The 27,593-nt window shown below is 39.5% G+C and overlaps 1 protein-coding gene across 52 annotated transcripts in view; it reads left to right on the top strand.

Annotated features, from left to right (window-relative positions):
• NCOR1 (nuclear receptor corepressor 1) overlaps positions 1 to 27,593 on the top strand; it is a 186,378-nt gene that overhangs the window by 131,717 nt on the left and 27,068 nt on the right. For 35 of the 52 annotated variants that reach the window (NM_006311.4, NM_001439115.1, NM_001439111.1 and 32 more), the window contains 17 exons: positions 3,091 to 3,211; positions 3,309 to 3,410; positions 3,754 to 3,854; positions 8,116 to 8,284; positions 10,249 to 10,389; positions 11,590 to 11,673; positions 12,153 to 12,409; positions 13,293 to 13,653; positions 15,697 to 15,924; positions 18,124 to 18,333; positions 18,799 to 18,948; positions 19,631 to 19,750; positions 21,548 to 21,713; positions 21,924 to 22,417; positions 25,219 to 25,347; positions 25,754 to 25,911; positions 26,081 to 26,304. In NM_006311.4, coding sequence (NP_006302.2) covers positions 3,091 to 3,211; positions 3,309 to 3,410; positions 3,754 to 3,854; positions 8,116 to 8,284; positions 10,249 to 10,389; positions 11,590 to 11,673; positions 12,153 to 12,409; positions 13,293 to 13,653; positions 15,697 to 15,924; positions 18,124 to 18,333; positions 18,799 to 18,948; positions 19,631 to 19,750; positions 21,548 to 21,713; positions 21,924 to 22,417; positions 25,219 to 25,347; positions 25,754 to 25,911; positions 26,081 to 26,304 — 3,215 coding nt within the window. The remainder of the gene's footprint in view (positions 1 to 3,090; positions 3,212 to 3,308; positions 3,411 to 3,753; positions 3,855 to 8,115; positions 8,285 to 10,248; positions 10,390 to 11,589; positions 11,674 to 12,152; positions 12,410 to 13,292; positions 13,654 to 15,696; positions 15,925 to 18,123; positions 18,334 to 18,798; positions 18,949 to 19,630; positions 19,751 to 21,547; positions 21,714 to 21,923; positions 22,418 to 25,218; positions 25,348 to 25,753; positions 25,912 to 26,080; positions 26,305 to 27,593) is intronic. The other 17 variants (XM_011524086.4, XM_047437142.1, XM_017025420.3 and 14 more) reach the window with 3 other exon arrangements.

The following is a 27,593-nucleotide window of genomic DNA, read 5'->3' as shown; positions in this document are numbered from 1 at the left end:
TGTAGCAAAGTAAGGGGAAAGTAGCACAAACCACCCAAGAGGCAAAGGTTGTGGGGAAGAGGTGGGTGCAGTGAGCATTTAACATATGCATAAATGCTTTACGATTCACCTGCTCAGCACTGCCTCCCCAGAAGGCGAGCATAGGGAACTATTTTACGAGGATGTTTCCCCCCAAACATCTGAGAATGCTTCAAATTATAGTTTAAGGTTTAAAAGACCAAAAAAAAAAAAAAACCATGAACCACCCATCTGCTGGGATTTTTGTTGGGATTGTATTAAATCTATAGATCAATTTGAGGTAGAAATGGAAATCTTACATCGAATCTTCTAATCTATGAACTTGTATATCTATATCTCTCAGCAGCGCTTTAAAGTTTTCACTTTAGAGATTTGTATGTGTTTTGTTTGATTTATATTTGGCTATTTGATTCCTTTAAATTTTGTTTTTGTTTTTTTTTTTTGGACAAAGTCTTGCTTTGCAGTAGTGTGATCATAGCTCACTGTAGCCTCCAACTCCTGGGCTCAAGCAGTCCTCCCACCTCAGCCTTCCGAGTGGCTAGGAATTTTTTTTTTTTTCCTTTTTTTGAGACAGAGTCTTGCTCTGTTGCCCAGGCTGGAGTGCAGTGACACGATCTCGGCTCACTGCAACCTCCGCCTCCCAGTTTCAAACAATTCTCCAGCCTCAGCCTCCCAAGTAGCTGGGACTACAGGTGCACGCCACCCTGTCTGGCTAATCTTTTTGTATTTTTAGTAGAGACGGGGTTTCACCATGTTGGCCAGGATGGTCTTGATACAGGAATACTGAATAGTGAATTGGTGAACATGGACATGAATTTCTTGTTGCTCATCTTAGAAGGAAGGCATTCAGTATTTTACTGTTAGGCAGAATGTTAAGTTTTTCATGGATGTCTTTCATCAGATTGAAGATGTTTCCTTCCGTTCTTAGTTTGCTGAGACCCACCCCCACCCCTAGTTCTTATATTTTTTTAGCTCCAGAATTTCTATTTTGTTCTTTTTAATGATTTCTTTCTCTTTGTTGGTGTTCTCTATCTGGTGAAGTATCATTCTTGTACTTTCTTCTTTTTTTTTTTCTTTTTCTCTCTCCTAAAACAATTCTGTTGCTCAGGCTGGAGTGCAGTGGCATGATCTTAGCTCACTGTAGCATCAGTCTCCTGGGCTCAGTCAATCCTGCCTCAGCATCCTGAGTAGCTGGAACTACAGGCATGCATCACTATGCCTGGCTTTTAATTTTTTTTTTATTTTTTATAGAGACAGAGTCTTAATATCTTGTTAAGGCTGGTCTCAGACTCTTGGCCTCAAGCGATCCTCCTGCCTGGGTTTCCCAAAGTGTAAGGATTAAAGAAGGCAGGCCACTGCACCTGGCCTCCTTTAATTTAGACATGGTTTATTTTAGTTCTTGGAATACATTTATAATAGCTGATTTAAAGTCTTTATTCCTGAGCCCAAAGCTCAGGAATATTTTCTGTTCCCTGCTCTGTTTCATATGTATGGCTCACACTTTCATGTTTCTTTGCGTATCTTATAATTTTTGGTCAAAAACTGGACATTTTGTATAATGTAGCAACTCTGGAACTTGGATCCCCCCCACCCCCACTTTTCTTTTCAGAGCTTGTTGTTTCTTTTGGCTGTTATTATTTGCTTAGTGACTTTTCTTAACTAATTCTGTAAAGTCTGTATTATTTGTTGTGTGTAGCCACTGAAGTCTGATTAACTTAGTGATCAGCTAATGATTAGACAGACATTTCCTTAAATGTCTAAAATCAGTAAAATCAGCCTTTGCTGAGGGGTGCTCTTTATGTGTTGGGCACTTAACAGCTTTGCCTTAGTCTTTACTTCCTGGCGTGCAGAGCCTTAAGGGCAGCCTAAGTTGAGAGCAGTGGGGCCTTCCCATGTCTTTCCTAGGCATATTCATAGCCTTGCACATGCATGTAGCATTCTAGGTTCTAGGGAATATGTTGGAGTTTTTCAGACCCCATGAACATCTCATTCCCTGGCTTTTCCTTTTAAGTGTTTTGGTTAGCCTGTTGTTTACCCTGGCTGTTATCTACTGTCTCAGGCAGTGGAGAAGTTAATCAGTTGCCTCTGATTGTTTTTGACAAGTCTGCACCTCCTCTCCCACTCCAGTCAGGTCAAATAAAGACAGCTTTGTGAATGGAGTCTCCCAGAGAACCAACAGAGAAGTCAAACAATGACAGTTATCTGGGAATGAGGCTTTTAAGGAGCTCCATCCTTGCTCTTTCCCTTCTAGTGGCTGCCAGGCAGCCACCATAGGTTTGCACTATGATTGAGTGCTTTTGGTTTTCAACACTTCCATAGAGTTTGATCAGGAGAATGAGAATGGAACAAGTTAAAATGCCACAAAGCCCATTGTTTTTACCTGTTTTTACCTAGATTCAGCTTTTTTTTTTTTTTTTAAATAAATATTTCCAGATTTCTACAAGCCTTTGGTTAATTTCCAGGGTTCTTTAAAAGTCGATTCTTACATTGCTTGAGACTGGGAGGCGGAGGTTGCAGTGAGCCGAGATTGCTCCACTGCACTCCAGCCTGGGTGATAGAGCAAATCTCTGTCTCAAAAAAAAAAACAAAAAGAAAACAAAAAAAACAAAAGAAAAGAAAAGAAAAAAAAAGGTTGATTCTTAAAATTTTTCCAGGTTTTCTTGTTGCTTTTATGGAAGAGAGTTTTTGGAAGTCCTTATTACTTTGCTGTATTTGCTGATACCACTCTCCATAGCATTTTTAGTCGGAATGAATATTAATAATAGTAGCTTACATTTTGATTGCAACATATAAGTGCTTTATTTATGTAATTTATTAATAGTAAATACTATTTACATGTAATGTATGGTAATTTTAGAAGACATATCCTACTCCCTTTAAAATTTTTTTTATATTTAAGCAATCTACGATGAAGATTTTCTTGCTTTACAAAAACTATTCTTGGTTTTGGGTAGAAGGGGTATAATTTTTTTTTTTTTTAAACAGAAATGGGAATGCTGACTTTGTGAAATTGACCTTGTGAAAAAAACAATGTTTGCTTAATCTTTAAATTTTTTTTTGTTTTTTTCTTAGGGAACACCAGGCACTTATTTGACTTCTCATAATCAGGCTTCCTACACTCAAGAAACACCCAAGCCGTCAGTGGGATCTATCTCTCTTGGACTGCCACGGCAACAGGAATCTGCCAAATCAGGTCAGTGAGTTAATACAGTCATAATGCATCTACGTTTGTAGCATCACAGCCAGTAATTTAGTACTGGATTGTTTCATGTTTCTCTGCCTTTCCACAGCTACTTTGCCCTACATCAAGCAGGAAGAATTTTCTCCCCGAAGCCAAAACTCACAACCTGAGGGTCTGTTGGTCAGGGCCCAACATGAAGGTGTAGTCAGAGGTAAAATATGCTGGTTGGCAGAAATGTTAAACTTTTGTCCCCAATAAATTTATTAAAGTAAGTTATTAATATATTTTAATGATGGGCTTTTTTAACTATAGTCTTTAAATTCTAAATTTGTTTTCTTTCCATGTAAAAGTCATTTTAAAACCTTGAAGTTCCATGTTTCAGCAGTTCTTTAGTATTATTTTGGAAGTACATTTTAATAAAACAAACATGATGGGTTTTGTGCTGCTTTTTTCTTTTCTTCTTAGTTGAGTACTCTCCCAAGTAGGGGCTGTTTTTTTATGTTTTGGGGCAGGGGCTGGGGGTGTAATTTGCTAATAGCTTTGTTTGTATTCAGGTACCGCAGGAGCCATACAAGAAGGAAGTATAACTCGGGGAACTCCAACCAGCAAAATTTCAGTGGAGAGCATTCCATCCCTACGGGGCTCTATCACTCAGGTTAGTCACGATCATCTCTGATATACTCAACAGAAGCTCAGGAAAAAATGATAAATAATTCTTAGCACTTTGGCTATTTTGTGGCTTAAGTTCATTTTTCTGCATTATGGGACTGGGTCTCATAACCTAGATCTGCAAACTGTCTCCACAGAGACGTTAATGTGATCATTTTGACTACAAGCTATATTATGAATACTTTGGTTCATTTGAAAAGGTCACTTATTTGCAAACTGGAAAAAGAAATATGTTCTAATTGATGCAGCTCTTATTGTCTTCCTGGAAAAGCTTTTACCATGTGTTTAGCCTAAATAGAAATTGAGAAGAAAATCATTACGAATTATTTGCTTACTTTTGCCCTGGTGGAGATGTAGTTGTAGAATCTCAGTATGTGGGCTGCCTTGTTAGAATCTAATGCTAAACCAGGAAATGTGGATGGTATTAACAAAAGCACCAGAAGCCTTCCAATTTTGGGCTAAATACATCACCAATTTTGATTAATAAAATTTCTCTCAGTTAGTTGTTAATTTTAACTTGATACTTAAGAAGTTCTTAGCCTCTTTATGTATATGCATAAGAGGGAAAATTCTGTTTTGGGAAATCATTGTAAACAGAAACCTGTGCCTTGCATTTTCTAAAGTGTTCACTCATTGTCACAAGTTTTTTATTTGTCTAGTTACTATCCTCTAAGACAGTTGTTCTCAAAGTATGATCCCCACACCAGGAGCATCAGAATCACCTAGAAAATTGCTACACATATAAATTTTCAGATCTTACCCCAGATTTACTGAAACCCAACCCTTGTTGGTGGGGACTGGCAGTCTGTGTTTTCCCAAGCCCTTAGCTGATTCAGCTAGGGCTTTGCTGGCCAAGTGTGGTTTGTGCACCAGAGCATTGGCATCACTGGGATGCTTGCTAGAATAATGCAGAAATGTCAGTCCGCACTCTAGATCATGTGAATTAAAATCCCCATTTTACTGAGGTTCCCAGGTGATTTCTTTCTGAAATGTAGTTTACATACTACTTCCTTGTGGTTAAGTTAAAAACAGAAGAAAAGAAAGTTACATACTGACTCTTAAAATCTCTCTTTTTAGGCCAGGCGCGGTGGCTCACGCCTGTAATCCCAGCACTTTGGGAGGCCAAGGAGAGCGGATCACGAGGTCAGGAGTTTGAGACCAGCCTGACCAACATGGTGAAACCCCGTCTCTACTAAAAATACAAAAATTAGGCGGGCATAGTGGTGTGCGCCTGTAATCCCAGCTACTCAGGAGGCTGAGGCAAGAGAATCACTTGAACCTGGGAGGCGGAGGTTGCAGTGAGCTGAGATTGTGCCACTGCACTCCAGCCTGGGTGGCAGAGTGAGACTCCGTCTCAAAAAAAAAAAAAGTCTCCATTTATATTGGGTCAGTGTGTTTCTGTTTTAACAGCAAGCTAATACTTTAATATGGACAGAGGAAAGTAAATGGGCCTGTATGTATTATTCTTTCTCTTCACTCTGGCATCCAAACTGTGGGAAGAAAGAGTATGAACTGGGCCAAAGGAGACTAAATTTTATCTGTTTAAAATCTGTTTGTGCACTTGACATGAGTACTTCTGAAGTGGGCGTTAAGGATTTCTAGACACTTACTAATGAGTTCACTTAATGACTGGACAAGTAAGTGTATGTCTCTTATCGCTTTTCTTAAGCATATGGTATCAGATTGTGCTCTCTAGGGTTTTAGCAGTCCTCAGAGTATAGTGGTGACCCTAAATGTGAGTAAACTCAGTCTAGGCCTCTAACTCCTATTTTACACCAAGCTGCTCTCTCTTGCAAAATGCTCTACGTATTAGATTCTATGAACAATTTTCCTTGAAGGAAGGGCTCGCTGCTTAAAGGAAGGGTAAAAAGAATCATGGTCATTGGCAACTCCAGAGGAGGATTGATGATGGTGAAAATATAGATAACCTGACCTAAACTGAATCAGTGTCAAAACACAGAGGCATCCAAAGGCCTAACAACCTAGTAGTCAGTTTGATATTTGAAAGTTATTTTTCCCTCATATCACAATTTGAGAAAAAGTTGTAGTACTCTAAATTTAAAACTACTTTATCATCTTATTTTTATTAGAAAATTTATATTAGGTTGGTGCAAAGATGTGATTTCGGACTGTGAATTTTAAATCATTATAACTAGGCTCAAACGCATCTTTATCAAAATAGGAACCATTACAATCAACACATTTTTGCCAGTGAGAAATAATCTTGTTCATTCCTGTAGCATAAAAATACATGCTTCGAGATTCAACAAACTCTTAGAAAGCATTTTCTTTCTCTTTTCTTTTCTCTTTTCTTTTCCCTTCCTCCCTTCCTCCCTTCCTTTTCTTTTCCCTCCCTTCTCCCCTCCCCCTCCCCTCCCCCCTCTCCTCCCCTCCCCTATCCTCTCCTCCCCTCTCCTCCCCCTCCTCCCCCCCTCCCCTCTCCTCCCCTCTCCTCCCCTCTCCTCCCCTCTCCTCCCCTCTCCTCCCCTCTCCTCTCCTTCCCTTTCCTTACCTTTCCTTTCCTTCCTTTTTGCTTGCTTGCTTTTTTGACAGAGTCTTGCTCTGTTGCCCAGGCTGGAGCATGGAGTGCAGTGGTGCCATCTCAGCTCACTGCAACCTCTGCCTCCAGGGTTCAAGTGATTCTCCTACCTCAGCCACCCAAGTAGCTGGAATTACAGGTGTGCGCAGCCGTGCCTGGCTAATTTTTGTATTTTTAGTAGAGATGGGGTTTCGCCATGTTGGCCAGGCTGGTCTTGAACCCCTGGCTTCAGGTGATCCGCCCGTCTTGGCCTCCCACAGTGCTGGGATTACAGGCGCAAGCCACCACAGCCAGCCATGGAAAGCATTCTGCTGCTTGTGGAAGAATTTTCCCTGCATAAAGTTGTCGAGATGCTTGAATAAGTGGTAGAGAGAGAGGTCAGGTGAATGTGGCAGATGAGGCAAAACTTCATAGCCCAATTCATTCAATTTTTGAAGCATTGGTTGTGTGACACAGGTGTTGTCGTGGAGAATTGGGCTATTTCTGTTGACCAGTGCTGGCTGCAGGCATTGCAGTTTTCAGTGCATCTCATTCATTTGCTGAGCATACTTGTCATATGTAATGGTTTTGCCGGGATTCGGAAAGCTGTAGTGGCTCAGACTGGCAGCAGACCACCTTTTTTTGGTGCAAGTTTGGCTTTGGGAAGTGTTTTGGAGCTGCTTCTCAGTCCAGCCACTGAGGTGGTTGTCGCTAGTTTTTGTATAAAATCTACTTTTCATCGGATGTCATGATCCAGTTGAGAAATGGTTTGTTGTTGCCTAGAATAAGAGAAGACACTTCAGAAAGACAGTTTTTAAAATTTTCGCTCAGCTCATGGGGCACCCATTTACTGAGCTTTTTCACCTTTCCAGTTTGCTTCAAATGCCAAACAACCGTAGAATGGTTGACGTTGAGTTCTTTGGCAACTTCTCGTGTAGTTGTAAGAGGATCAGCATCAATGATTGCTCTCAATTGGTTGTTGTCAACTTCCGATGGCCGGCCACTATGCTCCTCATCTTCAAGGCTCTTGTTTCCTTTGTAAAACTTCTTGAACCACCACTGCACTGTATGCTTGTTAACAGTTCCTGGGCCAAATGCGTTGTTGATGTTATGAATTGTCTCTGCTGCTTTACAACCCATTTTGAACTTGAATAAGAAAATCACTTGAATTTGCTTTTTGTATAACATAATTTTCATCGTCTAAAATAAATATAAAACACCAAGTAATAAGTCATTAACAAAAAAAGTGACAAATGCACATTAAAATGATATATTGCGTAACTACATTCAGAAGAAAACAAGAACTTAACCACATTTATTTAAGAATGTATTCCAGTATCAAACGGCAAATTTCAACAACGCAAAAACTGCAATTACATTTGCAACAACCTAATAAAAGCTGTTACATTTACTTGATTTTAGTCCTTAAGAGAAACTTCTGAGAGTTAAATCCTGTAATAGAGTCCTCACATGAAGGTGAGAGCAAAGTTGATTCACCTAATGTACGTGTCATAATTTTAAGTGTTATGTGGCTGAGTTGAAGGATGAAGGTACAGGATGTCTTCATGTTGATAAAAATTCAATGTCTAATTTCCTTTCATGTATGTGTGCTTTCTTCTTTGAAGCTATAGATTAGCCTGACTCTGTCATAGGTTAAATTTTCTGAGCATCTTGTGTTTTCCCTAAACTCGAGTGACTCCTCTGCTATTTATGCTTGATTTGATGGCAGGGCACCCCGGCTCTGCCCCAGACTGGCATACCAACAGAGGCTTTGGTGAAGGGGTCCATTTCGAGAATGCCCATTGAAGACAGCAGTCCTGAGAAAGGCAGAGAGGAAGCTGCATCCAAAGGCCATGTTATTTATGAAGGCAAAAGTGGACATATCTTGTCATATGATAGTAAGTATTGTATGTATGCACCAAAGCCAGTATTACAATATGTGCTAAAAACATAGGCTTGGGTTTTCCCGCATTTCTGCTCTCTGGGAGTCAGTTTATCTTTGCTGAGCCTATGTTTTCTCTCAGTAAATGGGGTTAGTAATACTTGTCTCATGAGAATTTTGTGAATAACAGCTTAGTCGATAAAAAGTAATTAACAACGCAGAGCTCATATTAAATGTCCCATAGGTGGTAGCTAAGATTGTCGACTGTGGTCAGTCAGTTTAGCTTAGGTAAAGAGCCTTTGTTGAACTTTAATGGAATACTTTTATTTTGAAGAGATTCATGTTTTATGAATTAAGAATTAGAGGGTAGATAGGCTGGGCGCGGTGGTTCACGCCTATCTACTATCTAATCCCAGTACTTTGGGAGGCCGAGGCAGGCGGATCACAAGGTCAGGAGATCGAGACCATCCTGGCTAACACGGTGAAACCCTGTCTCTACTAAAAATACCAAAAAATTAGCCGGGCATGGTGGCGGGCGCCTGTAGTCCCAGCTACTCGGGAGGCTGAGCCAGGAGAATGGCGTGAACCCGGGAGGCAGAACTTGCAGTGAGCTGAGATTGGGCCACTGCACTCCAGCCTGGGCGACAGAGCGAGAGTCTGTCTCAAACAAACAAACAAAAAGAATTAGAAGGTAGATAATATTCTGATAATCTTGATAATATTAAATACTCCTTAATAAAACTATTTTAATGTCTATGTACATTTTTTTAGATGTATTCTTGTTATATTTTCTCAGTAGTAGTATTTTATAAGAATGACTCAAATGTGATAGAAATATTAGCCAAAGTTTTGAGTGAATTTGAGTTCTTATTTGCACCTGACTCTGTGACCTTGGAGTAGTCATGAGCTATGCTTTCTCTTCCAATACAAAGAAATAAAGTATGTGCGTACATAGTGCCAGATGCTGCAAAATGCTTGATAGCATTCTTATTTCACTCTCCTTTACACGTCTGGCATATTATGATTCACATTTTGTTTTTGGGGTTAAGAAATTAATAATGTACGTTGTCCATATCAGAAGTCTACACACCTCTGTTTCTTTCCACATCCACCAAATCACTAAGCCATTTCTGTTTATTTTCCTAAAGTGTCTAGAATCCATCCATTACTCTGTATTCACCACTGTCACCATCATCTTTAACCCAGCAGCCACCTAACTCATCTCCCTACCTTCAGTCTCACCCATATTCAAAGTGTGTACCACGTCACTCCTTGACTGATTTTTCCATCACCCTGGATATAACTGCAAACCCCTACCTTAGCTTTATAACCCCTCCAGGAGCTGCTTTCAGCTTAGCTCTTCACATTTTTCCCTTCTCACTTTTCCCTTTAGTCCCCTATATTTACCTCCCCCACACTCTTCCTCCCAACTCCACTCTACACATTAGCCGGTTACCACGCTTACGTTCTTTTATTGTACCTTTCTCTGTCTCACCTTGGGGTCTTCGTGTTCACTGTTCACACTGCCTGTACTTTTTCCTCCTATTACCTTTGACTTGAACAACTCTTATTCATCCTTCATTCTCAGCTTACACATTGCTTCCTCTGAGCAGGCTTATCTGAACCTGGAGGTGTTAGGTTTCTCTCCTAGCATTTTCATAGCACATTATACTTCTCCTTTCATAGCTTATTTTACTACATAATCTGTACCTACATTATTGTGTAAGTTTCATGCAGAAAGGGACTTAATTTGTTAATCTTACCTGCAAGCCTAGCTTATGCCTAGCACACAGTAGGCATCAATAAACACATTTGAATGAGTGAAAATATTTTCATGAATCATCTACACATATTTTATTGTAGGTTAAGACAAGTTTTAATATTATTATTTTTATAAGATAGACTATGAAACTAACCTATTTACTGTACATTGTATACCATGTGCTCCGTCTGAGCAAGTCTTGTTTGTGTATTCTGTAGATATTAAGAATGCCCGAGAAGGGACTAGGAGTCCAAGAACAGCTCATGAAATCAGTTTAAAGAGAAGCTATGAATCAGTGGAAGGAAATATAAAGCAAGGGATGTCAATGAGGGAGTCTCCTGTATCAGCACCGTTAGAGGGTAAAGCATTGTTTTCAGAATGTTATTTTGATACATGTTATTTTATATAGTAATTTTGCATTGTTGAATTAAGTTGTATGCAATTTCTGTCATTTCCACCTGAAATGTATATTTATATTAAGTTGTATGCAATTTCTGTCATTTCCACCTGAAATATATATTTATATTAAGTTTATATCTGTATATAAAGTGGCACATAACAATGGAAGGAAGTCAAATTTAAGCGTAATTGGTCATATCATAGGTTACTATTAGAATGTTCATATTTGAATGCTCATACAATTTGCAGATTATTCCTGTTTCAGCTAAGTGAGTTAAAAAAGGTAAAGTTTATTATGAGAACTTCTTTTTGAATTGTGAGACAGATAAAGTGGTGTAATGGATAAAGACATGAATTTAAATTTCAGCTTCACCCTTCCCTGGTAAAATTCCTTTGAGCCTGTTTCTTCCTCTGTAAATTAAGGGATCGTACCTAACACTGTGTGAGGGTTAGAGGCAGGTGTCTGAACTGGTGCTGCTCATGTGATATGGCTTCAGTACATGATCAGTATGATTTTGTTTTGTTAATGGCCCACTTTGTTTAAATCTTAACCTGCCTCAACCAATTTTAAGCTAGATGAAATACTAAAAGCAGGGTAAGTCCTGTGTAATTTTCTAAGAGCTGTATTTTTCTCTATGTTAAAAACACACACTTTTACTGTAAATATGTGTGGTTATTTCTAACCCTTGATTTATATTTATCAGCAACAATAATGTGAAGCTTCTTAGGAGGTTATTTACAACTCTTTCGTTTCAATTTGCATGTTTCATTTAATACATTTTCCCTATTTTTATGGTATCCATATTTCCCGTTTTCCCTTTATCACAAGTATATTTCAAAGCTAAGCAATGGTTTCCAATCCTGTATCTTCTTTCCTCTTGATAAAGAAGTGTTGGGATTTTAGATTTAACTTTGAAGGTATCTTTCCTTTTCAACCTTTCATTAGATGCCTTTGGTGGCCATTTTTTATTTAGGAAAATATTTACAAAGGACTGTGTGATGTCATATTAGGTACTTCTGGATAGTTCACAAACTTAAATTGACATTCCTTCCTTCATAGAGCATTTATCAAAAACATAGACTTTAAGAACAGCATTCAGTATATGTGAGTTGACATATACATTATGTTGAATAATTGAATTGCTTTCTTGTTTTGGAAGGGCTGATATGCCGAGCATTACCCAGGGGGAGTCCTCATTCTGACCTCAAAGAAAGGACTGTATTGTCTGGCTCCATAATGCAGGGTAAACTTTCTGCTTGTTTTGCATTTTTATTTATAACTGCCTCCCTGGCAAAATAGTTTGACATTAATTTACAGTGTATTTCTGCTTTTCAAGTTATTTTCCCTTTTGAAATATTAAAGTCTTGGTTATTACTTTTCTGCCTCTGAGCTACATAATTTATTGGAAGATGATAGTTGCTTAATCTTTTAATATAGAGATATCTTTATTATGCAAGAACCATTCTGTGACTATTATGAATGATGCATTAATATCATATCTCAAGCAACCCTAAAGAAATAATGATTGATAAATACTGATTTGAGGATCTACTGTAAACAGAAAGTTAATTAGAAACTACAAGATGTCAAGGCATTATTTTAAATTATGTTAAAATATATGTAACAAAATTTACCATTTTAACCATTTTTAAGTGCACAGTTCCGTGGCATTGTTGTGCAACCATCAGCATTATTTTAATGTTTCCTGAATTCTTTTTCAAGGGACACCAAGAGCAACAACTGAAAGCTTTGAAGATGGCCTTAAATATCCCAAACAAATTAAAAGGGAAAGTCCTCCCATACGAGCATTTGAAGGTGCCATTACCAAAGGAAAACCATATGATGGCATCACCACCATCAAAGAAATGGGGCGTTCCATTCATGAGATTCCAAGGCAAGATATTTTAACTCAGGAAAGTCGGAAAACTCCAGAAGTGGTCCAGAGCACACGGCCGATAATTGAGGGTTCCATTTCCCAGGTAACTAAGTTTTGGCTCTTTTTGTCAGTAACTGATATTTATGGAACATTTAAAAAAGTGTGACTTAATAATTATAAGTGGTTCTTATGATGTCAGACCTCCTGGAAGTAAACATGAAAGTTTCCTGTACCTTTTTTTTTTTTCCTCTGTGGACCAGGCTGGAGTGCGGTGTGTGATCACAGCTCACTATATAGCCTTGACCTCCTGGGCTCAAGCGATCCTCCCACCTCAGCCTCCCGAGTAGCTAGGACTACAGGCATGTACCTCCACACCCAGAATTTTTGTATTTTTATAGAGACAGGGCTTTGCCATGTTGCCAAGGCTGGTCTCGAACTCCTGAGCTCAAGTGATCTGCCCATCTCAGCATCCCAAAGTGCTGGGATCACAGGCGTGAGCCACTGTGCTTGGCCTTTGTGTAATGGCACGATCTTGGCTCACTGCAACGTCCGCCTCCTGGGTTCAAGCGATTCTCCTGCCCCAGCCTCCCGAGTAGCTGAGATTACAGGTACCTGCCACCACGCCTGGCTAATTTTGTATTTTTAGGAGAGACAGGGTTTCTCCATGTTGGTCAGGCTGGTTTCGAACTCCTGACCTCAGGTGATCTGCCCACCTCAGCCTCCCAAAGCGCTGGGATTACAGGTGTGAACCACCATGCCTGGCCTTGTGTACTTCTTATCATCAGGTTTTCTTATGTCTATAGCATAGAGTGTGGAATGTGGGAAAGTATGCAGCTTGGGATCAGTGGGGTTGTGATTGAGATTTGTAAACAGACCAAAAAAGATCACCACAGTGAACTGTAACTGCCATGGGCCAGACATAGACCTGAGATAGAAAAGTAGCCAGATGACTTTGCTACCTGTAATGTTTGTTTCTTTCCCTTTAGGGCACACCAATAAAGTTTGACAACAACTCAGGTCAATCTGCCATCAAACACAATGTCAAATCCTTAATCACGGGGCCTAGCAAACTATCCCGTGGAATGCCTCCGCTGGAAATTGTGCCAGAGAACATAAAAGTGGTAGAACGGGGAAAATATGAGGATGTGAAAGCAGGCGAGACCGTGCGTTCCCGGCACACGTCAGTGGTAAGCTCTGGCCCCTCCGTTCTTAGGTCCACACTGCATGAAGCTCCCAAAGCACAACTGAGCCCTGGGATTTATGATGACACCAGTGCACGGAGGACCCCTGTGAGTTATCAAAACACCATGTCCAGAGGCTCACCCATGATGAACAGAACTTCTGATGGTATGTTACTTTTGTTGCTTGGTCTGATACTTTTTATTGCATTTAAAAAAAAAAAAAAAAACCTTTGTCAAGTAGTAAATATCAAATTGTCAGCTTTAGAGTATCCCAAGATCTACAGGTCTTGCTTGAGTCTAGGAGTATGGAAGGCTACTAATTTAAAAGTAGGCATAATTTAAGTAAAATACCTGATATTTAAATCAAGTGCAGATTATGATGCAGTCCAGAAATGCTATAGAGTAAGTATATTTTTAGAGTGGATTTTCAGCCAATTGCATAAGGTTTTCTGGAAGTCAGTTTTGACATTGTTCCTTCAGCGGCAGTGTGGTGTGAAAGCTGTAAGTAGCCTCTGGAACAAGACTGCATAAGCTTGAATTAACATTCTTACTGCATCAACTCAGATGAGTTACTTAGTTTTTTTGTAGCTTAGTTTCCTGATCTGTAAAATCATAATGTAACATTAAGACCTACCTCTCTGGATTGTTATGAAGATCAAATAAGGTAGTACATGTAAAGAACTTAGAATGGTGCCGAGTATTTACGAAGGGCTCGATAAATGTGAATTATTCCTGTTGGTGTTACTGTTGTTATTATTGTTGTCACTATAACCCCATGCTACTGGCAGCTACATCAGTTGAGAAGTGATTTTTACCAAGTGGTCCCTATCAACCTGAGGCCCTTAAAAATGCATCCACTTACCATTTTTTATTATAATACAAATTTATTGATGGCTCACATGGTACGTCCTGGGCTGGGCACTGTGAGCTGTACAAGTGTGTTTTGGCGGGTGTGAGGGGCGTAGCACAGAGTGAGGAGAAGGGGAAGTCCTTGTTAGGGATGGGGAGGTGAGTCCAAATGCTTGTAGCTTTAGTTTTGATGGCGAATTGCCCTGCAGAGGGAAGGGCACTCCATATTTGAGCACGCTGGGACTTGGAAGGGGATGTGATAAACCAGTGTGATTTCTTTCTTTGGGCAGGCAGATTTGTTTGATTGTGGTAAAGTTTATAGTATCAAAATATTAGTAATTAGATGTGATGGTTACACAGCCATCATGCTTGTACTTAATGCCACTGTGAATTGTACCCTTTAAAATGGCTAAAATTGTAAATTTTATGTTATGTATATTTCACCACAGTTAAAAAAAATTGAGGGTGGCTGGGTGCAGCAGCTCATACCCATAATCCCAGCACTTTGGGAGGCCAAGGCGGGCGGATCATGAGGTCAGGAGATTGAGCCCATCCTGGCCAACATGGTGAAATCCTGTCTCTACTAAAAATACAAAAACAATTAGCCGTGCATGGTGGCGCGCTCCTGTAGTCCCAGCTACTTGGGAGGCTGAGACAGGAGAATCGCTTGAACCCAGGAGGTAGAGACTGCAGTGAGCCAAGATCACGCCACTGCACTCCAGCCTGGGTGACAGCGAGACTCTATCTCAAAAAAAAAAAAAAAAAATTGAGGATGATGGCTAATAAGTGTTTGAATATATATTTATTGGTGGGACAATCTGACCATCCTGAATAACATCATTTAAGAGAAGAGAGGCTGGAGTAGGGAGGTGATAGATATTGGTGAAGTAATGAGAAAGTCATTGTGGAAGAACAGAGCAAGGAAAAAATTAGTGAAACTAGTGATTAATGGGTAGGAAGGAGGTTGCATAACACAGGCAATGAGAGAAAACTGAAGTTTACTACATGTGGGGACAAAAGAATTTAGAATGTTAAAGTCATACAAAAAACAAAATGATTCATAATGAGATTTAAAGAAGAGTATTGAATTTTATTTTTAATGTTACATAAGGTGGTAAAATACTGGTGCTATGATCCAAAAGGTGACAGTACTCTCCAAATCTCAGTTTCTACTAGTTGTTTACATTTTCATATGTTGTTTACATTTTCATATTTTGCAATATTGAATGTTAAATGTTGAGTGGAAAGAGAAGATCCAAATACATGAATATAGTCTTTATTTGAATGGTTGAGAAATGGACAAATATTATCATACTTGCAAGTTTCTTAAGAACTTGTGGCATTGGCTCTTTTTTTCCAGTTACAATTTCTTCTAACAAGTCTACCAATCATGAAAGGAAATCGACACTGACCCCTACCCAGAGGGAAAGTATCCCAGCGAAGTCTCCAGTGCCTGGGGTGGACCCTGTCGTGAGCCACAGTCCGTTTGATCCCCATCACAGAGGCAGCACTGCAGGCGAGGTTTATCGGAGCCACCTGCCCACGCACTTGGATCCAGCCATGCCTTTTCACAGGGCTTTGGATCCTGGTAAACACAAAATATAGTGATAATTTATGGCAAATAAATATGCCACCAGTATGACTTTTCAGCTTTCTGTTGTTGTACAATATAGTACAATTGCAAATATCATTAATGTACAGCTCAGTGAATTTTCACAAACTAAATTCTCCCATGTTACCAGCACCCAGATCAAGAAATAAAATCTTATCAGCACCCGGTAAAGAACTAAAAAGAATAGTATATGAAAAGCTCTCTTATCTGATGGCACTTGGTGAAACTAGTTGAAAAAGTGGATTAATGTGAATAATTATTTTAAAATGACAGAGGCATACCTAAACATGTTAACTTACAGCATAAATAGACGTTCATTTACCAGAACTCTGATCTAATGCCAAGGCTTTTTCATAAACAAGTGATTAAGTCTCACTGTCTTATATAAAAGAAATTCTTTTTTTTAAGTAAAGCTAGAACTTCCAAGTAAAGACACTTCCAAGCAATCTAAATACAGAATCCTTCTAGATTTTTTTTCCAGCCTTTGAAGTTGTCTAGTCCGCACCTGATTCAACTTCTGTATCAACTCTTTCCAAAGCTGTTAGTTTTCAGAGAAACCACTCTTCATTCTTCCTTGATTTACAAATTATGTCATTAAGTTACATAATTCTAGTAACAAGTACAGCTGGAAGAAACTTCAGAACACCACTGACATTGGTAGACAGAATCTGATAGGTGCAGATGTGCAGGTTTCTAGAGAGCAGTCTGCTGGGCAGAGGGCATTGTGTTTTACACAGGGAGGGGAGAGGAGCAGTCACATCGGTTGGTACAGAGAGGCTTGGCTGGGCTGTTATAATCTGCAGGACCACCGGCTGCACCTTGTCCTCCCAGGGTGCAGTCCTTGCTCTTCCTTGCCGCTATTGGCTGAGCCCAGTCACACATGTGTTTTCTGCTGAGACCTCTTCTCTGGCCTAAATAAACTCTTTGCTTAATAAGTATCCTTCAGGTGCAAATTAGGACACAGAATACTTGTGCCTCACTTTGGTCCTTAGAGAAGAATTTTTCATTATCAGTATGCTAAATTTTAAAAGTAAGAATTCTAAGGGTTATTTACATTTCATAATAATAGGAAAGTAACTGTGGGAAATATTTTATCTAAAAGCTGTGTAAATGCCATCAAATTATTTGTCATTTGACAACACTGTTTCAGAGGAGCCCAATACCTATTACTTAGGGCACTGTCTCCCAGATTGTGTCAGCTGACAGACTTACCTAGCTTCTAGATGAAGGGGAAGCAAATATTCCAGAAAACATGTTACTTGTTTTTCTAGGGAGAACATATACATATAAAATAGGTCACTCAAGTTCTCAGACAAAATGGAATTTTTCTGGTTTCTATTTAGTGTTTATCATTGTCTTCATTTTGTAGTGGTTTCTTTTGCTTGTTTTTGAGCCTGAGTTGGATTATAATGTTTTGAGGAGAGAGACATTATCTACTTTTTACCACGCCTACCCCTTCCTCGTATCTTGTGTCTTGTGTCATTCTCTCACCTAGGGGTTGCTAAAAACTACAGCTTTTTGGCCAAATCCTGTTGCCACTTGTGTTTGTAAATAAAGTTTTATTAGGATACAGCCACACCATTTATTCTTTTTTTCCGTAGCTCTTTTTGTGCTACAGTGACAGAGTTGAGTAGCTGTGACAAATGCGAAATGGCCCACAAAGCCTAAAATATATTTACCATTTGGCCCTTTATGTCAAAAGTTTGCCAATCTCTGCTCCAAACACATGGACTAATTAAATGCTTATAGTCTATAATCATTTTCACCCCCTGGAGAGTAAAGTTACTGATTGCCACAAAGTATTTTCGTATACATTTCTGTTGGTTGTACTGGATGATCAGTACTATAAAGACAATTTTATTTTCAAACACAACTCTTGCAGATGCCAGGTAAAAATATGATAAAGTTACATGTCAAAGATTGAAAGTAAAACTACTTGAGAAGTTTTTAGCTACTGTTATCCTTCCCCTTTTCCATTACATCTTAGACATTAGAATTGCTATTGCTAATACATCAAGGTCTAAAATAAATCCACCTTAATCCTTGTAGCTAAGTAAAAGTTCCATGTGCACTAGCTCAGCATGTGATTTTTCTCTACTCTTTTGTACGTGGTGTTTAGCAAATGTATTTCAGCCAGGACAAAACTCAGTGCCTTTCTTTCATTCTCTCAATCAGCAGCGGCTGCTTACCTGTTTCAGAGACAGCTTTCACCAACTCCAGGTTACCCAAGTCAGTATCAGCTTTACGCAATGGAGAACACAAGACAGACAATCTTAAATGATTACATTACCTCACAACAGATGCAAGTGAACTTGCGTCCAGATGTGGCCAGAGGACTCTCCCCAAGAGAGCAGCCACTGGGTCTCCCATACCCAGCAACGAGAGGTGTGTGTCTTTGCATTTCAGATTTCGTAGAATTTATTATGTTTACCTAGTGTTTCTTAGGTACTCAGTAAATACTTGTTGAATGAATGATGGAAAGAAAGAAAGAAAAGAATACTATATCCTTCCTCCCGTAGACTTTTTAGCCCAGAGACATACATTGAGACAAGGTGTTTTGGTGAATACTGAAATTAACTAAACCAAATCCTTGTGCTGAGTATTTGTAATCCATGGCTTACAAATTTGCTCTCTTTAATCTGCCCATACTTTGAGGTTACTGATGTGAAGTACAGTCTTTAATATCCTTCTTTAAAGAATGTCTTAAAAAGTAATGATGATAGTAAACATTTTTATTTATATTATGTACAAATTACCCTTGATTCACAGAGATAGACAAAATCCAAAGTCATGTATGGTTCTGTACCTTTAGAATAACACTTAACATAAATTGTATTGTCTTTTGGATAGGAATCATTGACCTGACCAATATGCCTCCAACAATTTTAGTGCCTCATCCAGGGGGAACAAGCACTCCTCCCATGGACAGAATCACTTATATTCCTGGTACACAGATTACTTTCCCTCCCAGGCCGTACAACTCTGCTTCCATGTCTCCAGGTGAGATTGTACAGTTACACACCTCTCTAATAGAACCATCATGTTTACATTTTTACAACATAGCCTTTTAAGGTATCTTGGGCAATTTTTCCTCATTTGGTTTCTTGTTTTTCTTTTAACATTTAATAGTAGTTCTTATGTGCCAGCTGTCACTAGATACCTTAGGAATGCCTTAAAAGCTTATGTTATGCTTCAGTTCTTATCCAGGACTCTTAATAAAACAAACTTCTTTTTCTCTTTTCTTGTTTTTTTTTTGTTTTTGTTTTGGAGACAGAGTCTGGCTCTGTTGCCCAGGCTGGAGCGCAGTGGTGTGATCTCAGCTCACTGCAACCTCCATCTCCCAGGTTCAAGAGATTCTCGTGCCTCAGCCTCTGGAGTAGCTGGGATTACAGGTGCGCGCCACCACACCTGGCTAATTTTTTGTGTGTTTTTAGTAGAGACAGGGTCTCACTATGTTGCCCAGGCTGGTCGTAAACTCCTGGCCTCCGGTGATCCACCTGCCTTGGCCTCCCGAAGTGCTGGGATTACAGGTGTCAGCCACTGCACCCAGCCAAAACAAACTTCTTATATCCCAAATTTGAAGCTTTTTGAAAAATTTTCAGTCACTTAGAATTTCGGAATTGTTTGATATACTCAGTCAGTTGATATTTTTATCTTTAAGCTGCAGGTTTATGTTTTACAGGACACCCAACACACCTTGCAGCTGCTGCAAGTGCTGAGAGGGAACGGGAACGGGAGCGGGAGAAGGAGCGGGAGCGGGAACGGATTGCTGCAGCTTCCTCCGACCTCTACCTGCGGCCAGGTCAGTGAAAGGCACTGCTCTTCCATTCTCTGGACACATCTTAGTAATCTTGTACACTGTGCTTAATGCTGCGCACAAAAAGTTTTGATGGAAACAAAAATTCTAAGACAACGTTATTACAGGCCCCAAGTGAAAAACAGGTGAAAGTGCTGTAGCAGCTGAGATGGTGGAAACGTGAATTTTACACGGAAAAATGTTTTCATGATGAAGGTATCATTTTTATTTGGTGCAAACAGTGGACTGCAGTTGGGCCTGAAGATATTGGTCACAGAGCTTTCAAGGCTGAAAGAACAGCCCTAGCAAAAACTCCTAGATATAAAGGTGTTGTTGAGCTTGAGTTTAGAGGAGGAATGGAAAATACAGTTAGCAGCTTGTGTAGCATCTTGAATTACAGTGAAATGTTGTGTCCAGGAGGCAGGTGACATGATCAGAGGGACATTTACACGAGTGGAATAGATGGATTAAAACCCTGAAGAGTGGGTATGGCTGGTCCCGGATGTAGCCTCTGTGGAGATAAAAATTTTAAATACTCTTTTGTCTAGTAATTCCACGTCTAGGAATATATCCCATAGAAATACTCAGATAAGCTGGGCATGGTGGCTCATGCCTATAATCCCAGCTACTCAGGAGGCCAAGGCAGGAGGATTGCTTGAGGCCAGGAATTCAAGACCAGCCTCAGCAACATGGTGAGACCCTGTCTCTAAAATATATATATAAAAAATTAGCCAGCAGCCGTGGTGTGCACCTGTAGTCCTAGCTACTCAGGAGGATGAAGTAGGATGATCCCTTGAAGCCAGGAGTTTGAGGCTGCAGTGAGCTATGGAGTGTCACTGCACTCCATCCTGGGTGACAGAGTGTGATGCTGTCTCTTAAAAATTTTTTAATTTAATTAAAAAAATAAATATTCATATAAGCTGATGAATGGTTAGAAGGGAGAAAACTGCTGAGAAGCCTGGCTGAGGTGGTGGTGTCTGTGAGAAGAGGGGTGTGTGCTAAAACATAAAACAGCTAGCTGTTATGAAGCCAGTGAGCACGTTAGAAGGTTGGAGTGAGGACACAGAACAAGATGAGGTCAAGAAGAAAGTGACTGGGGAGGGATTTGAGAGTTCAGAATCCTCTGCGTGAAGTAGTTCTTACCAAGTCCAAGCTCTGACTTGGTTATGGGAGAGTTAGGGTTAAGTGAACAAAAACATACCAAATATTGTAGAAGTGTAATTGTGGGAGCCAAGTGTTTTGTGGGAAGATAATGTGAATGATTTCATTTCAAAAGAGAGAGCTTGCTGAGAGAAAGAGTCACCTGTGAAGGGGACAGTGAAGAAGTGAAGCAGGGCAAACTGTGGTTGAATGAAACAGTCTCAAACCCTAGTGTAGCAGTGGTATATTATTTTCATTATGATGCTTAGAAAGTTGTGCCTGATTAGATTTTGGAAATCATATACACACTAGAGTTTGAGGAAAAATCAGAAAGATGAACTTATATGATTTGTAGTAGTACTTCTTGTTGGTGCTGTTTTATTTATGGAATCAAGATTGAAATTTATCAGAGAAATGGAAATGACAGTAAATGATGGCTGATGTTTTGTTTCAAGTTACTGCTGCGGTTTTATTGCATCTTTATTTGGACACTTTTAGAACATATTTCTGGAAAGGCCAGAAAGTAGACTATCAAGTTTCTTATCTTGTTTTTCTTTTTTCTATTTAGGTATGTTAGGAAATAAACAATCCATAAGCATTGCTTCCTTTTGTCTCTGGCTTCCTCCTTATGTCTTTGTTTCTTTCTCTTTTTCACCTCTGCAGGCTCAGAACAGCCTGGCCGACCTGGCAGTCATGGATATGTTCGCTCCCCTTCCCCTTCAGTAAGAACTCAGGAGACCATGTTGCAACAGAGACCCAGTGTTTTCCAAGGAACCAATGGAACCAGTGTAATCACACCTTTGGATCCAACTGCTCAGCTACGAATCATGTCAGTCTCTTGTACATATTTTGACAAAAAATGTCTCTTGCATATACATTTTAAAATTTGTGACTGCAATAGTCTAAGTATAGTCATGCTTTTCTGCCCATGCCATGAAGGCTTTTTTTGTTGTTGTTGCAGTTTGTCCTTCCATCTCCCCACCACATTCCCAGCAAATGGTCTTCCCTTCACAGAGCTGTGATTTGGTTTTATTTACAGGCCACTGCCTGCTGGGGGCCCTTCAATAAGCCAAGGCCTGCCAGCCTCCCGTTACAACACTGCTGCGGATGCCCTGGCTGCTCTTGTGGATGCTGCAGCTTCTGCACCCCAGATGGATGTGTCCAAAACAAAAGAGAGTAAGCATGAAGCTGCCAGGTTAGAAGAAAATTTGAGAAGCAGGTCAGCAGCAGTTAGTGAACAGCAGCAGCTAGAGCAGAAAACCCTGGAGGTGGAGAAGAGATCTGTTCAGTGTTTATACACTTCTTCAGCCTTTCCAAGTGGCAAGCCCCAGCCTCATTCTTCAGTAGTTTATTCTGAGGCTGGGAAAGATAAAGGGCCTCCTCCAAAATCCAGATATGAGGAAGAGCTAAGGACCAGAGGGAAGACTACCATTACTGCAGCTAACTTCATAGACGTGATCATCACCCGGCAAATTGCCTCGGACAAGGATGCGAGGGAACGTGGCTCTCAAAGTTCAGACTCTTCTAGTAGCTGTATGTATCTCAATCCGAGTTTCACAATGTGATGTCTGAGTAAAGAATTACTTTATTCTTTAGGTCAAGTAGAACTATATGGTATTTAAAAATCCTAACGGTTGATAGTAAATGTAATGCAAAAATGTATCTTCTGCTGTTTTTATGATTATTTAAATATCCCAGTTTCCTACATATAAGCCTATCAATGTATCTTCCACAAGAAAACTGTATCATTCATGTAATTAAATTTGGAAAGTAGAAGGCAGACCTTATTAACATATTTAGGCATCTGAAAGGTAATGGATATATCGCCAGGCTCTGGGCTACTGAGGTGTAATTTCTCAGGAAGCATTTGCTAGGACATGGTTCTATATTTATGCCAATACCCCAAAGCCTCTAATATCCTTTTTCTAAGACACAGGTTTTTAAAAGTGAGACTACCTATTATTGGTGATTGGTATTTATATTGCATCGTTTTTGCAAGTTGGATTTTGTTCAAGTCTGGTTAGTCATTAGGATGGCTACACTGCAAATGTGTTAGAATTCACAGGTCTACATTAAAATGCTAGAAAAGTTACTTTTTAAATTTTCTTTTAAACTATTGCCTTAATTCTATGTGGAATTGCAGAAAGAACAAGCAAGTATTTAAATAAGCATCTGCTAATACTGGAAGTAATTTAATCATATATAATCATCTTTCTGTTATCTCCATTGAATAAATTCAGTAGAGTTAGACATCATGAAAAAAAAAATGATTTCTCATGCTCCAGAATGCAATGTGCAGTTCTTTTGATCTCTGAGTATCCACTAGCTTAATTATAATTTGTTTACGTCATATCTACCGCATTGCTGAGGCTTTTAGAGAGAGAGTTAGTGTTGTGTAGACAAAAGACTTCTTTTAACCTGAGATTAGGAAAATCTGCAATATAGATTTTCTGCATGCAGAAAATTGCTAGCTGAGAAAGAGATATTCTATAGTTGTATGAATAGGTCTTTTGAAGGGAAGTCACCGGCACACTGGGAGATCCCACCTGGGCTTATTGAATGGTATAGCACATGGGTTCCTTAATCATTGGATTAAACATTTCTTTTCAGTTTGCATCACAAACCAAACCTTGCTTTAGGAATTTGATTTTCAGAAGGTGTGAAAATAGAAAGCTCATCTTTTCTGAGTGTCCATGTCTCTGTGTGTGGTTATCTTTTTTATCACTGGTCAGTGAATTCCATGATGTCCAAAGGCTATGTACAGTTCTTCAGTGTGGTTTTCAGTTTGACTCTTGAGAACCTTCCTCATCCTGAAGGGGAGGTCCATTGCCATAGTCTTGCCCCTTAAGGCTTCAAGAACAATGTGAACACGGTTTGGATTCCGACTTTCTACTGAGTGAATATTGGAAGTTGTAACCAGATTTAGGATGTTGAATACATAAACAGTGATGAGTAACAGTGGATACAAAAGTCACAAATTACTGTAAACTTCTTAGAATATAGTGATTTATTTTAGTTTCTCAATGATCATTTCTGTTCCATTTATCAAGTTTCCAATCTCCTAAGTGTACTAGAACCCAGGTAGCTGCAGTTTCCATGACCTGGTGGGGATAGGAAGGACTGTTGAGTACCAGAGGAGCAGGTGGTGGCTAGGGAGCAGAGTTCATTCCCACCTGCTGCATCTGTGTCCAGCCCAGGGCCATGCACCCTTTGGAGCTCTGACAGTGCTCTCAGATTCTGTAGTGCAGTTTGTGGATGTGAAGAGCCCTCTGAATTCAGAGGTTCCTGAGCAGGCGGTTACATCTGCTCCCAACTGTCAGCTCTGAGGCTATGGCAGGACTGTGAAAAGCTGCCTGTTAGCCCCACTGCATAGCCCTCTGTTTACTTGGGAACTGTGTCTTAGAGGAGGTCCTTTTCTGATGTGGGTATCCTCCAGAGTTGGTTGACATCCTCCCTTTCTGGGAATATACTTCCCTTCAGACATTCTCTACCATTTCTGGTTATTTTCACAATGTAACACAGTGCTAAAAAATTATTAATGTTTGGAGTAAGTTTTGTTAGCAATACTCCATTTATTTGAGAAAATCATTATATAGTGTTATATAATCCATAGCTTTAAAATCATCATGGTGGTGAATGAAGCAGCTTTATAGCCTCAGCGTTTTTCTAAGAACAGAGTGTCCCACAGAATTGGAATCATTGGAATCAGTTATTGAGATCTACTCCCTCATTTGTTTATTAACCTCTTCCATAAATGTTTCCCTGGTGATTTCTTTTCCAGCTCCCAGGAAAATATCATAAATCTGTTCTCTGTTCTGCCTCATTCCAGTGTTTATTATTGGGCTTTAAAACATGTCTTTTTTTTTTTTTTTTTTTTTTTTTTTGAGACGGAGTTTCGCTCTTGTTGCCCAGAATGGAGTGCAATGACACAATCTCAGCTCACCACAACCTCCGCCTCCCGGGTTCAAGCGATTCTCCGGCCTCAGCCTCCCGAGTAGCTGGGATTACAGGCATGAGCTACCACGCCCTACTAATTTTGTATTTTTTTTAGTAGAGACAGGGTTTCTCCACGTTGGTCAGGCTGGTCTCAAACCCCTGACCTCAGGTGATCCACCTGCCTCGGCCTTCCAAAGTGCTGGGATTACAGCCATGAGCCACTGCACCCAGCCTAAAACATGTCTTAAAGCCCATAAAACTTCAGAAAACCCTCATTAACCTGGAATACCTTTGAACATGGTGGATCAGAATTGAAAAAATGCTACAGGTGTGAAGAACTTAGACTTCAGAAACTTTTCCTGGGATTAGTTTTGAAATAAGATTTTCTTTTCTTAAAGTATCTTCTCACAGGTATGAAACACCTAGCGATGCTATTGAGGTGATAAGTCCTGCCAGCTCACCTGCGCCACCCCAGGAGAAACTGCAGACCTATCAGCCAGAGGTTGTTAAGGCAAATCAAGCGGAAAGTATGTCTTCTTAAGCTACCATTTACATGTTTTCATATTTGCATTTATCATTTGCTTCTAATTATCTGTCTAGACCATAGTAAGAATTAACTTGTTTTGTTTGTTTTAGGGTAATCTTACATGAGCCTTCTTTAGAAACAGCAATCGATTCTTTTTTATTTTTTAATGATACAGAAAATTGTTTATATTAATTTTGTTTGCTTACTTCTGCATTTATATTTTGTTCCACTAGTCCTCAGACTTCTTCAGTGAATAATTTTTTTTTTCTCCAAAATTAAGATAAGTTCTTTGTTTGGAGCTATGTACCACATCCTTTCAGGTGTTCTTCTGAATTATATTTAATCTTTGATAATGAGTGAAAAGCACAGACATTCCTGGAGTAAGACATCTATGTGTTCTCTCCTAGATGATCCTACCAGACAATATGAAGGACCATTACATCACTATCGACCACAGCAGGAATCACCATCTCCCCAACAACAGCTGCCCCCTTCTTCACAGGCAGAGGGAATGGGGCAAGTGCCCAGGACCCATCGGCTGATCACACTTGCTGATCACATCTGTGTAAGTTTTTCATTATTCTTATTAGTTAATTTTTCTTTTTTGATCATGGGGAAAGCAGATTTCATATAGAAAAAGAAATTTATAATAAAGATATCTAGATTTCTTAATACTATTTTTTTTTTGCAAGTACTCAATGAATTTTACCACTTCCTTCATTTCTCATTCACAGCAAATTATCACACAAGATTTTGCTAGAAATCAAGTTTCCTCGCAGACTCCCCAGCAGCCTCCTACTTCTACATTCCAGAACTCACCTTCTGCTTTGGTATCTACACCTGTGAGGACTAAAACATCAAACCGTTACAGCCCAGAATCCCAGGCTCAGTCTGTCCATCATCAAAGACCAGGTTCAAGGGTCTCTCCAGAAAATCTTGTGGACAAATCCAGGGGAAGGTATGATCTTTATTCCAAATTATATATAAATTGCCCAACAGTAAAACAAATGGAATATATCTACAGGATAAGGAATTTGTTTCTCACAACTAAAGTTCATTTGCCTTTATTCCCAGGAAAGTGTAAATGAGCTTTCTTCCCCCTGCATATTATTCTTAGAATGTCCACTGTCTTGGCATTTGGTACTATGACTTTTTAATGTATATTCAAAAGATGATTATATTCTATTTGTTGGTTTGTAAAGACAGTTAAGAAGAATGTGTAGTTTGGTAGTGGTTTGGGGACACTTCAGTGGTGCTTCCGAATAATACCTCTCATATTTATCTGTCTCAATGGTTTCTACTGGGTCAGCATCAGTAGAAGTTTAAGAAGGTGATATTGGCCAGACATAGTGGCTTATACCTGTAATGCTAGCACTTTGGGAGGCTGAGGTAGGAGGATTGCTTGAGCCCAGGAATTTGAGACCAGCCTGGGCAACATAGTGAGATCTCATCTCTACAAAAAAAAAGTTTATATATTTTTTGTTTGTTTGTTTGCTTGCTTCTGCATTTATATTTTATTCTAGGCCTCAGACTTCTGTCAGTGAATAATTTTATATATATATATATGTATATATGTATGTATAGATACACACACATATATATATGCACACACACACATATATATTTTAAGGTGACCTTAAATAAAGGAAAGGGAAGCCAATAGTGGCATCATGAGTGGAAACATGTTATATGCCAGGGCTCTCTGATAAAGAGCATATCTTCTTACCTGATATTCTGTGTTTGGTTAAAATAAAGTGGACACAGGATTCTTGCTTCAAAGTGGTAGACTAAATATTAGCAAATGTTAAATTATAGTTAACAAGCACAAAGGGAAATAAATTTAAGAATGCTGAGAAGGCCGGGCGTGGTGGCTCACGCCTGTAATCCCAGCACTTTGGGAGGCCAAGCTGGGTGCATCATCTGAAGTCAGGAGCTCAAGACCAACCTGGCCAACATGGTGAAACCCCGTCTCTACAAAAATACAAAAAAAAAATTAGCCAGGCATGATGGCAGGTGCCTGTAATCCCAGCTACTCAGGACACTGAGGCAGAAGAATCGCTTGAACCTGGGCGGAAGAATCACTTGAACCCGAGATCATGCCATTGCACTGCAGCCTGGGCGACAGAGCGAGACTCCGTCTCAAAAAAAAAAAAAAAAAAAAAAGATAAAAAGAATGCTGAGAACAAGACTGAGATATGGGCAGATCAAAGATTCTGGCAAATACCTGAAGACATAGAGGACACATGA

Source organism: Homo sapiens, chromosome 17 (genome assembly GCF_000001405.40).
Source record: "Homo sapiens chromosome 17, GRCh38.p14 Primary Assembly".
In the NCBI taxonomy this organism is placed as follows: Eukaryota; Metazoa; Chordata; class Mammalia; order Primates; family Hominidae; genus Homo; species Homo sapiens.
Note: the sequence above shows the minus strand (reverse complement) of the source record. Positions and strands in the feature narration are given on the sequence as shown.